Source organism: Homo sapiens, chromosome 13, assembly GCF_000001405.40.
Source record: "Homo sapiens chromosome 13, GRCh38.p14 Primary Assembly".
NCBI lineage: Eukaryota > Metazoa > Chordata > Mammalia > Primates > Hominidae > Homo > Homo sapiens.
The window spans coordinates 38,600,017-38,612,737 of NC_000013.11; the positions used below are offsets into that span (position 1 = coordinate 38,600,017).

The 12,721-nt window shown below is 37.3% G+C and overlaps 1 long non-coding RNA gene across 1 annotated transcript in view, besides 1 other annotated feature; it reads right to left on the reverse strand.

Annotated features, from left to right (window-relative positions):
- LINC00437 (long intergenic non-protein coding RNA 437) overlaps positions 1-12,721 on the reverse strand; it is a 154,676-nt gene that overhangs the window by 68,017 nt on the left and 73,938 nt on the right. The window lies entirely within an intron of this gene.
- Positions 2,256-2,550: an enhancer, noted in NCBI's record as "tiled region #5265; K562 Activating DNase matched - State 9:DNaseU". NCBI's record gives its function as "activates a minimal TATA promoter and a strong SV40 promoter by Sharpr-MPRA in K562 cells {active_cell/tissue: K562}" and the evidence as "EXISTENCE:reporter gene assay evidence [ECO:0000049][PMID:27701403]".

A 12,721-nucleotide genomic window follows, 5' to 3' on the forward strand; every position in this document is an offset into this window, starting at 1 on the left:
ATAAAGCATGTCAATTTATATAATATTTTCAATATTTAAGTAAAAATCAGGCTGGGTGTCGTGGCTCACGCTTGTAATCCCAGCACTTCGGGAAGCTAAGGAGGGCAGATCACCTGAGGTCGGGAGTTCAAGACCAGCCTGACCAACATGGAGAAACTCCGTCTCTACCAAAAATACAAAATTAGCCTGGTGTGGTGGCGCATGCCTGTAATCCCAGCTACTCAGGTGGCTGAGGCAGAAGACTCGCTTGAACCCCGCAGGCAGCCGTTGGGGTGAGCCAAGGTCATGCCATTGCACTCCGGCCTGGGCCACAAGAGAGAAACTCTGTCTAAAAAAAATAAATGAACAATAATAATAATAATTTAAATAAAAATCTTCACTTTCGCAAATATTATGATTCTATGAGATAAATACATAATCTCCAAGGGTAGAAACTTGTAGTTCTAAACCTCAGCCCAGTTGCTCAATTTCAGCTTGGGTAACTTGTCCAAACTGCTTCACCTGGACTTCTCTCACTCAAATAAGGGCAAGATGAGGGCCTGGGTGGAAGGATGATCACTAGGATCGCCTTAAAGCATCATTCCATGGCATAACTTTGTTTTTATGGTGTTGATATAATTGATATCACAAACTTACAGACTACCGCAGCAATCTGAATCATAAAATTCGCTAGTTTACAAGCCACTTGAAAAATTTAAATTTACACAGTGAAAAACAAGTGATTTCGAATTGACATCATCTCTTACTATGAAAATTGTAAGTTTAAATCTCTAAATGAGTGAGTAATTTTGTTTTTAGGATTTGAGAAGAAGTAGTTATCAGTATGGACTTTGCATTCATGACAAAATGTCTATTAGATTTACAAGCTAAGCTTTTTGTCATCATATTTCTGGATGATTTCTTCGCTCAGGTCAATTTTGAGGCTTGAAGGGAGGAATGGCCTTTATCAAAGTCACCTTGTTTAACAGAATCTGGCAGTACCAGCTTCTCTGAAGGTGTCAAGATGAGGTCAGCTCCAAAGATAATAACATAACATGAAATTCAAACAGAATTCATTTTGGTTTGTATTTGTCTTCTTTCTGAAGTCTCCTAATTATGAGCTGAGTTTTAAACAAGAAATGTTTTTAAAAACGAATTTGTTTAATGAGGCCCACTAATAACCTGCTCAGAGATTTTAGGAGGGCATATAGGGCATTAATTCCTATGAGTTAGCAGTAATTAGCAGAGTAGTTCTTATACATATTCCTGTACATATTATCAATAAATTATAAGGTTGCTGCTAAATTGGTTAGTAAGGTCAGTGTGAACCATACCAAATAAATCATCAACTATTATTAAAGCACTGCTAAGTTTAAGGAACGTATGGAGAAATCAAAGACGTAAAACATCTCTCTCTAAGCTTCATACGCAATCTGTCATCTATTTACTAGACACTTATTTATAAAACACTATGTTGCATATTGTCATAAATCAGAATAGACCCTGACCCCCAGGTATTTTTAGTCTTGTAAAAGGGATAAGGCCAATTACTAAGTAGCTATAAAGCTGAGATAGCTAAGGTAAATGCTTCAGAAAGATATTAAAAATATATGTTATGGGAGTTTGAGGAAGTTAAGAGGAGAGAGAATTTCACATGGATGGAAGCCCAAACTCAACATGTCCCAAACCATGCTGGTCTCCTTCCTCCCTCATGCATGTATTTACTGCTATCTTCAAAGAAATCATAGTGCTACATATATGCCAGGCACTGGACTATGTTGATGATAGAACAATGAATAAAATACAATCCCTGCACTTTAGGAACTTTCTCTCTAATCCTCAACCCTTCTCCTCACCCCACAGCGTGTCCTGTCTCAAGTCATGACACCTCCATACCCCACTTCCATCAAGCAGAGAACCCCCAAATCATCTTTAGTTCCTTCTCCTCTGTCTTCATTTGAACCGAAAATCCGGTCAATCAGTTCTACCTGTCTTATTCTTTTTTTTGTTTGTTTGTTTGTTTGAGATGGAGTCTCACTCTTGTCACCCAGGCTGGAGTGCAGTGGCGTGATCTCAACTCACTGCAACCTCCACCTCCCCAGTTCAAGCGATTCTCCTGCCCCAGCCTCCCAAGTAGCTGGGATTACAGGCACACGCCACCATGCCCAGGCTAATTCTTTGTATTTTTAGTAGAGACAGGGTTTCACCATGTTGGTCAGGCTGGTCTCGTACTCCTGACCTCAGTGATCCACCCTCCTCAGCCCCTCAAAGTGCTGGGATTACAGCCGTGAGCCACCGCACTGGCCCTGTCTTATTCTTTTAATCCACATTGTTACACTCCACGCTTTAGCTATTTGTTGCTACTTTATTACGATTTGACCGTCCCTCAGGATGGGCTCTCTCCCCTGTCCCAGCCACCATCCACACTATCAGCAAAGCACAGACCTGATGCTGTCATGGTCTTGGCTCAGAAACAGCCCTTTGTTTGTTACAAAGTGATGTATGACTCATTAGTGTGGATATCAAGACGCTTGTAATCAGATACCAACCTCAACTCCCAGACTTATTTCTCTATCTCCAGTCTTCTACACACTGAAGATTCTAGTCACACCTGACTTTTCTGGAATACACCCTCCACTTTCAATCCCTGATCACAGAGTTCATTCTGCATGAATTATCTTATCTTCCTTCAAAATTGTATTTAATCTTCCAAGTTCAGCTTCTCTTAAGCCTTTCCAAATGTCTCCATCATAATTATGATGTACGCCTTATTTTGAATATTTATAGTCTTTGGATTATTACATTTCTACTAGGCATTGTATTTTATTTATATAATGATATTATACATTTTGCAAAGCACTTTCACCAACTCCTAATACACACACTTTTTACCAACTCCACACACACAACTTTGATGTGAGTGTAGGAAGCCAGATGAGGAAACAAGTGCAGACAACTTAGGGGTGACACCCCGGTTTCACAGTCCATTAGCTCTGCACCAGTGCTTTGCTCACGCTCAAATATGGAACTTATATTTCAGATCAGTCTTATGGTCCTGCTTTCCTTATTTCACTCTGGGTTCCTCAAGGGCAGGAGCCCAAACCTCGCTTACTTCCTGGGACATAGTACATCTCATTGAAGGTTTATTGAATTAATGAAGCCCCTGCTTATATTCCTTCTCCACTTCTGCCTCTCTTTTTAGCTGAGGTCACTTCATCCCTTTGAATGAATTTAAATAAACAGAGGTACTCAGCCTTGAATCAAACCTGCCTATCTCATACATTGTGTCTCAGCTTAAGGAACTGTGTGCTTTTAGCCTGCTTCTGACACAAAGTCTCAAAGTAATAACTCAGTTCTAATAAACAATCTTCACCTTTATTCCCCGGGTATAAAAATCTTTAAAATCTCACAGTGCAGGAAAAACATGTGATTCTACAAAGAACTTTTATCCCACAATAAAAGACCATTAAGTCAAATACCATGATCTATAATAATCTAACTTGGAAACTATGGTGATGAAGTTTCAAAATGTTAACTGCTAATTCCAAATGCCAAATGTGATCTCTGTTAAACTATACTTTCAATTAGAAAAAATAAAATTAGGATTTCAGTGTTAATCACAATTTTGACACTATGAGCCCTGAACATTTACCTACAAATTACTGAAAAGTAGAAGGAAAGAGGAAAGTGCAACTCAAGTTCGACATGAATTAGTAAAGACTCCATAACCTGTAGTAATATCTGAGGGTCTTTTTCTAATCTATTTTGTCCACAATGTCTCTGGCTCAATCGTTATCAGTGTTATTTCACTATCTTCTTATAGAGAAATGTGATATATCAGGATGCATGAGAAAAAAGGCACTAACACTAAAAGTCTCACTTTATCAGAACCCGTTTCCCCACTCTCATTCTGCTGTGTGTTGCTACAATCCAGCTTTGGAGCATGAACTCTCACACTCCCACTGTATTCCTTCCATTGAAATTAAAGAAATGCAACTCATCAAACATTTGGCAGCTTCATATCTAACGCTCACATTTCAGTGTCTCCTTTGATGTTGTAAGAGAAGCAGATGCTTCTACATGAGAAAGCAAGATAGGGAGCCATGTATTTTTACTTTTACTTTAACTATCTCTCAATGTGATCACCTTACCTGGATTTTAGGATCTTTCTAAACTAGAAAGACTCTATTGTCACAACGTAATGTCTGAAATGAATGATTAAAGGAAGATACCCACATTATGTGAAGTGAATTAAATCTAAATCTTAAATCTCTATCATAAAATTATTCTGTAATGAATTAGGAGTTTCAATTAAAACATGCAAAGGAAATTTTTGTTCTATTTGAATTTATTGGGACTATGATCTTCAGTTCCGAGCATTATATTTAAGAAGAAACTGATCCAATAGAAATATAAGCAGAAGAAGATCACCAGGTTGGTCAAGAAATATGAAACCATATGAAATAGAGAAGTGTTGAAGTAACTGGGGAGGTTTACGTTGGAAAAAATGAATATTCAGGAGGGATGAGATGATTATGTTAAAGTGTCACTCAAAAAGGAGGATTATATTTATCTAATACTTAAACTTTACCCATTGGATTTAAAATAAACCCAATGGATAAAAATTCTAGGTAAAGAAACACTAAGTATAAAAAATATTATTTAAAGCTGACAAATTACATGTTGGATTTCTCTGAAAAAGGAAGGGTTGCCTTAGAAGGTAATTCCCTATTACTACAGAAGTTCAAAGAAGGTTTACAATAACCCAGTGGCCAGTTCTGTAAAATGGATTCCAACATTGGATGACTGAGAAGGCCAGATGGCTACTGGGCTTATTTGCAACTAGTGACTTTATTGTTGCCTTTGTTCTGATTATAAAGACAGAGTTATTAGAAAAGTGAGAAGAAGCTTCCAAATACTGCATTTCAAGCATAGAAATAAATAAGTTACTATTACTACAATTAGAAAATGACATTCATTTTCCCATTCTCTTAAAGCAGATTATTTCAACTGATTTTACAGTCATCTTAAAGGGTCAAAGGAAAATGTTAAGTAGACAAATTGTTAGGAATAAAATAGTACACAATTGTGTTTGACTTTATTTCCAGTTTTGTCAATTCTTTATGAAACTGAACTAAAAGAGGTCCTGGAAATGAGAATTTCATCCTGTGAGTTTTTATAGAGCAAGTTGAAAAAGCACATAGGAGGACAGTTGAGAAGTTTTAGGTCGATAAAAGAAAAAAGAAAAAAAAACAAGTCTGAATGTACACCAAACTACAAAGCAAAAAGTGGTATTGGAGAAGCAATTTTAACTTTTTTCTTATTTGTTCATAATACTTGAAATTTGTCCCAATGACTTTGCATTATTCTTTAAAGGTACATAAAAATAATTTTTAAGTAAAGCTAACAGATGACGTATACATCTTCAGTACTCAATAAATATGAATGACGCTTATTATAAAAGTACAATATACTCCAAATATATTCATACCCTTTTGAACAGAATTTTACCGTACATATGACTTAATTTTGGATTATACTGTGAATAAAATGTCGATTAAGTATAAATATACACCAAAGTAATGAAAAAGGGAAAGTAATGTACTATTCCTGTCTTCATGAAGCTTATAATGAAAAAGAACTGAAAAGAAATACATCCATAAAATAACTAAAGGGCATATTTGCCAAGCAACATAATAACAGAGTGAGGTTCCATAGATAATATTATAAACTATGCACATAAATGTTTTTTAAAAATCCTGAATAAAGACAGGGTTAAAATTAGGTGAGGTTACACAAAAAAATATTTTCTAAATGAGGTAGGGATGTTATTGCAAGTTTTAAAAAAATAAACTAATAACAAAGTCAGATTAATTATAAATTGTATGACTCCTCCTCTATCATTCTTTTCATTATTAAATCATTTCATTGATTTTTTTTTTAAAAAAAACATTCATTTCCTCCATCTCCATTTCCAAGTCATTTGGTTTTGATTTGTTAATGACTGCTGTAGTTTAGCTATGAGGAGAGTTTTGTGTTATTTGGTGTTAGGCACCCAGATGATGGATTAGTGGTTCTTAGGCACACCGTTTTAAAACATCTTGTCAAAAATACACTTTGCTCAAACTTGCATTTGAAACAAAAGAGGCCACAACAGGACAGCTGCCACTGCAGCTACGTGGTGGACTATTCTAGCTCCTACATCTATGATGTAGAGATGTTTTTGATGACAGAATAGGTAACTGCATGCATTAATAATGACCCTTACACTTTTATTACTTTTTTTTACTTTTATTGCTTTTTAATAGAAGGTAATCTTGAGTCTAATTTATTACAGACACTCATACCTATTTTAAGGCTAAATTGCCCATTTCTGTGAAATCAAAGATCTAAGCATTCACTAAATTATAGCTACTGTAGATTTCATTTCCACTTTCACCACAGGAAGAGGGAAAAGGAAAGGGAAAGAGAAAAGAAGGGTTAAATGTGTGCACGATGCTTCTTTTCATGTTTGTGGTAAAGAATGTATTGGATGGCTTAATTTTTTTGTGTTTTAAACCACATTTGCCTTTTCTCACTGTGGTGCGGTTGGAGCAACCATAGGTGTAGACGTGGATTCTAATCATGATGTGCCTATTATGCATCTAGCACAGTGCTAGACACTTTCTCACACACACACGCACACTCCACACTTAATCCTCCAAACAATCCTATAAGGAAGACAGTTTAGCTCCCTTTTTGAAGTTGAAAGAGGCACATTTAGAGAATTTAAATAATGAGCTTATTGCCAGAAATTTATAGCCTAGCCAGCATTTTGGTTTCTGACTCTAAGTCCCACATGCATGCAACTGAGAATCTGGCAGCCCTGCAGGTCTTGTGAGCACTGGGTGGGGACATCCTGCTCATGAATGTGGAGATGCCCATTCTCCTCAGTACTAGCTTCCCACTCCTGTGGCCTCTTCCAATACACTGGACTTCTAATAGCCTCTGCACTTCAGAAAGCAGATGTTCAGCTGCTCTGCCCCACACACTCACCCACATACACACCCTTCCTCTTAATTGTGCCTCAGTGCCTTGGGGTCCCCATCCCCGTTCCAATGAATGCCATGTCATTGTTTGAAAGGCTTGCAGACTTTCAGAGCAGCATTCAGGCAGGAGTGGCACAAGCTTGTGACTCTTAACCCACCCACCGGAACCTATCCAAGTGTCCCAACCCTACTTCCCGGGATTTCAAATCTGAGACATAAGATTCGAGTCTTTGGCTCTACTCTCCCTCCCAACTCCTCTCCTAGTCTTAAGAAGGGCTCCCCTCTGTCTTTCAGAAAGCAATTGACTTAGTGACTCATCCAACTTAGTCCATGGTTCTTAGTAAAAACATCTGCGTATTCAAAGCTTGGCTTTCAAGATTTTAAAGAAAATCATCATTTCCTCACTCAACAAAGTCAGAATTTTACAAATCAAAAGCGCTTGCTTTTAGACTATGATTTTCCAAAGAACTAAAAACATTGTATTTATTTTAAAACTGAAAGGAATTTCCTTTTTTGTCTAGGGTTTTCTGAAAGAATGAATACCCCACTTTCAGTTGGGGGAGAGGCACAGGATAATTAAGGGACAAAAAACATAGTTACAGGAAATAAGGCTATTGGGTGGATATTATCAAAAATTGTATCCTGATATTCTGGAATTTTCTTGTCCATTCTTAAGAGCATAATTTGAAATGTTTAAAAAGTAAAATTCAAATTTATTAAATATAGTTTTTATGTTTTATTTGGTATGACTTAACAATCATAAAAATTTTTAAGATGATTTAAAGTAATAACTCCATGACATCATCTCACAGCCTTTGAAACAGCATCTAAGGGGACCACGTAGAAATGATTGCCTTAAGGACTGTGAAGACACAATAGACCCCAAAATACCTCAAACTGGGTCGTCTGAAGCTTTAGATGTTTCTCTTTTTTTCATGTAATTTTCATTTCTCAGAAAATTTATCAAAAAGATGTCGCAAACTTTAGGCTTTTGGCAATTATTATACAGACACAAAGTTTATTTTACAAAATGGTAATTTTTCTATCAATATGTCCAGTAGCAGAACTATTGAAGATATGTGTTTCAGTTTTAAAAAAAAATCTATTTAAACACATTTATATTGTTTTAAAATTGAGTGTGGTGATATTCAAACTATCATTCTTTCCTGCAATGTCTGTTTGTGAATATGATCTGTGTAATAGGCAATATTTAATTCAACCATATGTATTGATACTTGCTTTGTGTCAAATATTTTTCCAGAAGCTGGAATTGTAGTTGTAAATGAAACAGAAAACAAAATTCTTGACCACAGGTAGTGAGGGATGACAGTGAACAAATAAATAAGTAAAGTATGCCACATGGTAGACGGCCATTACAGTTACTAGACCTGGCCAACTGGGTTCCTGATCTGGGGTCCCCATTTTAGAAACACCTGTTCTGTCCTGTCACTGGCCACGAACCTCCTGTCTGGCAAGTAGTCTGCAGAATCAAAGGTATGTGCCGATGTGGAGGCCCAAAGACTGGGGTTTCTGCAGGCATGTACCTGTGTATTACTATCGGAGGAAACTGAGGTAAGAAGAATGAGAGGCTTAGGTTTTCCTTTGCATGCTAGCCCCAAGCCCTGCAAATATCAGAATATGAACTTCTGGGTTATTTTTATTGAATGGACTATTTTATATCTCTGTAGGGCTAGAAATTAACTTTTTTTTTTTTTTGAGATGGAGCTTCACTCTTACTGCCCAGGTTGGAGTGCAATGGGGCGATCTTGGCTCATTGCAATCTCTGCCTCCTGTGTTCAAGTGATTCTCCCATTTCAACCTCCCAAGTAGCTGGGATTACAGGCACGCATCACCACACCCGCCTAATTTTTGTATTTTTAGTAGAGACGGGGTTTCACTATGTTGGCTAGGCTGGTCTCAAATCCTGATCTCAGGTAATCTACCTGCCTTGGCTTCCCAAAGTGCTGGAATTACAGGTGTGAGCCACTGTGCCCGGCCCCTAGAAATTAACTTATAGAACAATCATAGTAGTGAAAATAATTAGTGTCCTTTACAATGCAAATGAATTTTATCTGGTAGAGTTCCAATTGATTTCTCCCTTGTAGAAAAAATCACCCAAAACATTTTATTGCCCCAGAGAATATGTACCAGTTTTGCATCTATTACTTACTTCATTTTAGCCCTACTGACTGTATGTATATATATATATATGTCTATACATACATACACACATTTACACATACATTCAGATTTTTGAGATTCCCTTTTGAACTGTTCTGAACATCTCATTGATTAATAAGATCTTGTTAATTAATTAGCACCCCCATTAACTAGTGCATTTAATGAATCTTTGATACAGGTTTATTTTTTATTTGCATCCAAGCCATAATGAAATTTGTTTTTTTTAATTTTTGAAATTTATAAATTAGGAAGAGTTTAAAATTTAAAATAGAATGGAAGGTGACAGTTTCACTGGTAAGGTGATATTTGGACAAAGGCTGAGGAAGGTAAGAGAGGAACACAAGATGAGACTGTTCCAAGTGGAGATAAAATCAAGTCCTAAGAGAGAAGATAGGAATCATGGAGAAAAAAAACTAATTCCCTCCTACCTCTCACAACCTAAGAAATATCTGTATACAATTTGGGGTTTGAAAGAAGATCAGACACAGGAAATAAACATTGTATGGATGTGGCTGTAGACATTTGGAGTGTATGTAATTTAAAAGTAGAATATCCGAATGTCTGTGGGGACACTGCCAAAGAAATCACTGACCTTGGAGGAAGGGGTAAAAGGATCCCTAATGAGATAACAATGACCATATGGTAAAATTTGCAGACAATGGGCAACTTAATCATGCTGCAATGTGGATCTTTTCTGCCTGGTTATTTAGAATTACAGTTATAAAAAAAAATTTTTTTAACAATTTTGTCTAAGCCTTGAAAATAAGAAATTTTTTTAAAAATAGTAGTCTTAACAGGTCACCTATTTGAATAATCATGTCTACTAGCCAGCAGAGATGCTATAATTTTCTTTCTAACAGAGTTTTGTCTTTAATTTTATATTAAAATAATCTTGTGATGTAGTTAAAGAGAATATTCGAAATTAAGGAACATGAACCTGGTCCCTAAATCATCAAAACCAAGATAGTCAGAGTCTTAGTCCATTTTCTGTTGCTATAACATAATACCACAGACTGGCAAATAATGAAGAATTAAGGTTTATTTGGTTCATAACTCGGGAGGCTGGGAAGTGCAAGCACTGCACCAGCATCTGACAGAAGGCAGAAGTGAGAGCATGGGACAGAGCAGAAACAGAGCCAAACTCATCCTTTTTATCAGGTACTCACTCCCTTGTTAATGGCAGTAATTCAATTATGAAGGCAGAGGCCTCATGGCCTAACCACCTCTTATAGTCCCAACTCTTAACACTGCTGACTGGAGACTGATACAGTTTGGATATTTGTCCCCACCCAAATCTCATGTTAAAAGGTTATCCCCAATTTGGGAGGTGGGGCTTGGTAGGAAGCGTTTGGGTCATAAGGGAAGATACCCATAGCTTGACGCTGTCCTCTCAGTAGTGAGAGAGCTCTCGGGAAATCCAGTTGTTTAAAGTGTATGGCACCTGCCCTCCATCCTACTCCTGCTTTATGCCATGTGATGTGTCTGCTCCCCCTTTCCCTTCCACCATAGTCAGAAGCTTCCCAAGTCCTCCCCAGAAGCCGAGCAGATGCCAGTGCCATGCTTGCTATAAAGTCTGCAGAACCTTGAGCCAATTAAACTTCTTGTCTTTATAAATTACCCAGTCTAGAACTCCTGATCTCAAGTGATCCACTCACCTTGGCCTTTCAAAGTGCTAGGATTACAGGCATGAGCCACTGTGCCTGACCCAGCCTGGCCAATGTGTTAAAACCCCATCTCTACTAAAAACATAAGAATTAGCCAGGTGTGGTGGTGGGCACCTATAATCCCAGCTACACAGGAGGACAAGGCAGGAGAATCGCTTGAACCCGGGAGGCAGAGGTTGCAGTGAGCCAAGATCGCTTCACTGCACTCCAGCCTGAGTGACAGAGCAAGACTCCATCTCAAAAAAAATTAAAAATAATTTTAAAAAAGTCAATCTCATGTATTTCTTTATAACGATCCAAGAATGGCCTAATACAGGGACTAAGTTTCCAACACCTGAACTTTGGAGGACACATTCAAACCATAGTAGTTAGTTAGGTTAATTCACTGTATTACATTTTAGAAGGCATAGAGATAGTAGTAAATTTAAAAAGTAATTTAAAAAAAGAAAAGAAATTTCCTACTTCGACAAGGTTTCCTATCTATAATAGTTCACTAAAATGGAGCGGTTACCGTCTTGCTTTTTATTTTGCTACAGACATGAACAAGACTCAGATGTAAGAAAGTTGATTTATGCATACAAAGCAGTTAATTTTTATTTCTTGTCTACAAGCAATGTTTAGAACTACAGCAATGTTCTAAAAGCCTCTTTATGAATGTCAAACCACACATGAAAATAAAATAAAAATGTCATCAGCAAATAAGTCATTTCACATACTTTTGAAAGTAGACAGGGGTAGGGTGTCTGACCAGTTTTCACTCTTGTATTTGAGCTCTCCTGTGTGAGAGATACCAGTCTGACATTTGAAAACATGGGCCAGAGGATGAAGACACAAGACTGTTTTGAAATCTTTGTGTGTCTCTGCCTTTCCTTTAAATGTGTATTTGGTTGCAGCAGTGTAATAGGTGACTGCACAGATGAAAGAAGCAGCATTTATTTCCAGGGTCACAAGCAGAGCCAGAGTCTCCTCTATCATTTTCCTAATCAGCATTTCTAGTGAGCTTACAACAAAAGTAAACCTTTGCCCTCTTCCAGAACGCAGCACAGTAAACAATGCGCAAGAAAGTAAGGTGTACAAAGAATGCTTTCGCATATTGCATAAAATACTATCATAATGATTACGTGAGAACATGTATCTGACCTTGTCTTAGCTATACAGACATGGGTGCTCATCCCCAGGACATTTCAGAGTCTAGTAAACAGGAATGATAAGGCAAATGATCTGAATAACATTGACTCCATTCATAGCTGCCCTTAATAGCCAGGGTCATGAATGCATCATAGCAGCTGGAAGACGACCTGTAGGAAAAGGCCACCAATGACGCTCTCAGGAAGTAAAATAAAGAGCTAAGAGAAGCACAGAAAAAGAAGCCCTGCTGCCTTTACATATCTCAAAACTTGAGAAGAATTTATGTACAATTTGGAAGTTTGGGGATGCAGTCAGGATACCAACAAGCAAATGGGTTGTAGATATCTCGTGGGTGGAATGGAGATTTGATTTCAGGAAACCTCCGAGAAGTTTTAAGACAGCTGGAGTGAAAGAACCCTTTTGACCTACAGGGATTCACAAAAATGTGTCATTGGGCAAAATGTCAGAAATAAAGGGAAAAAACTACTAAGTTAATATTACTCTTCCTGGTTTAAAATAACTAAACTTACTTAGTCTTAGTAAAGTTCAGATTATATGCTGGGGGGCAACTATTACCTACTGTAGTGTCATGGATATTTCTACATAAACCAAATATCCACAACATTCTTAATCCAGGTCTTTTGGGGCATCAATGAAAGAGTGTGTGTGTGTGTGTGTGTGTGTGTGTGTGTGTGTGTGTGTGTGTGTGTGTGTTTATCAATAGGAGAAAATTATTTTTGT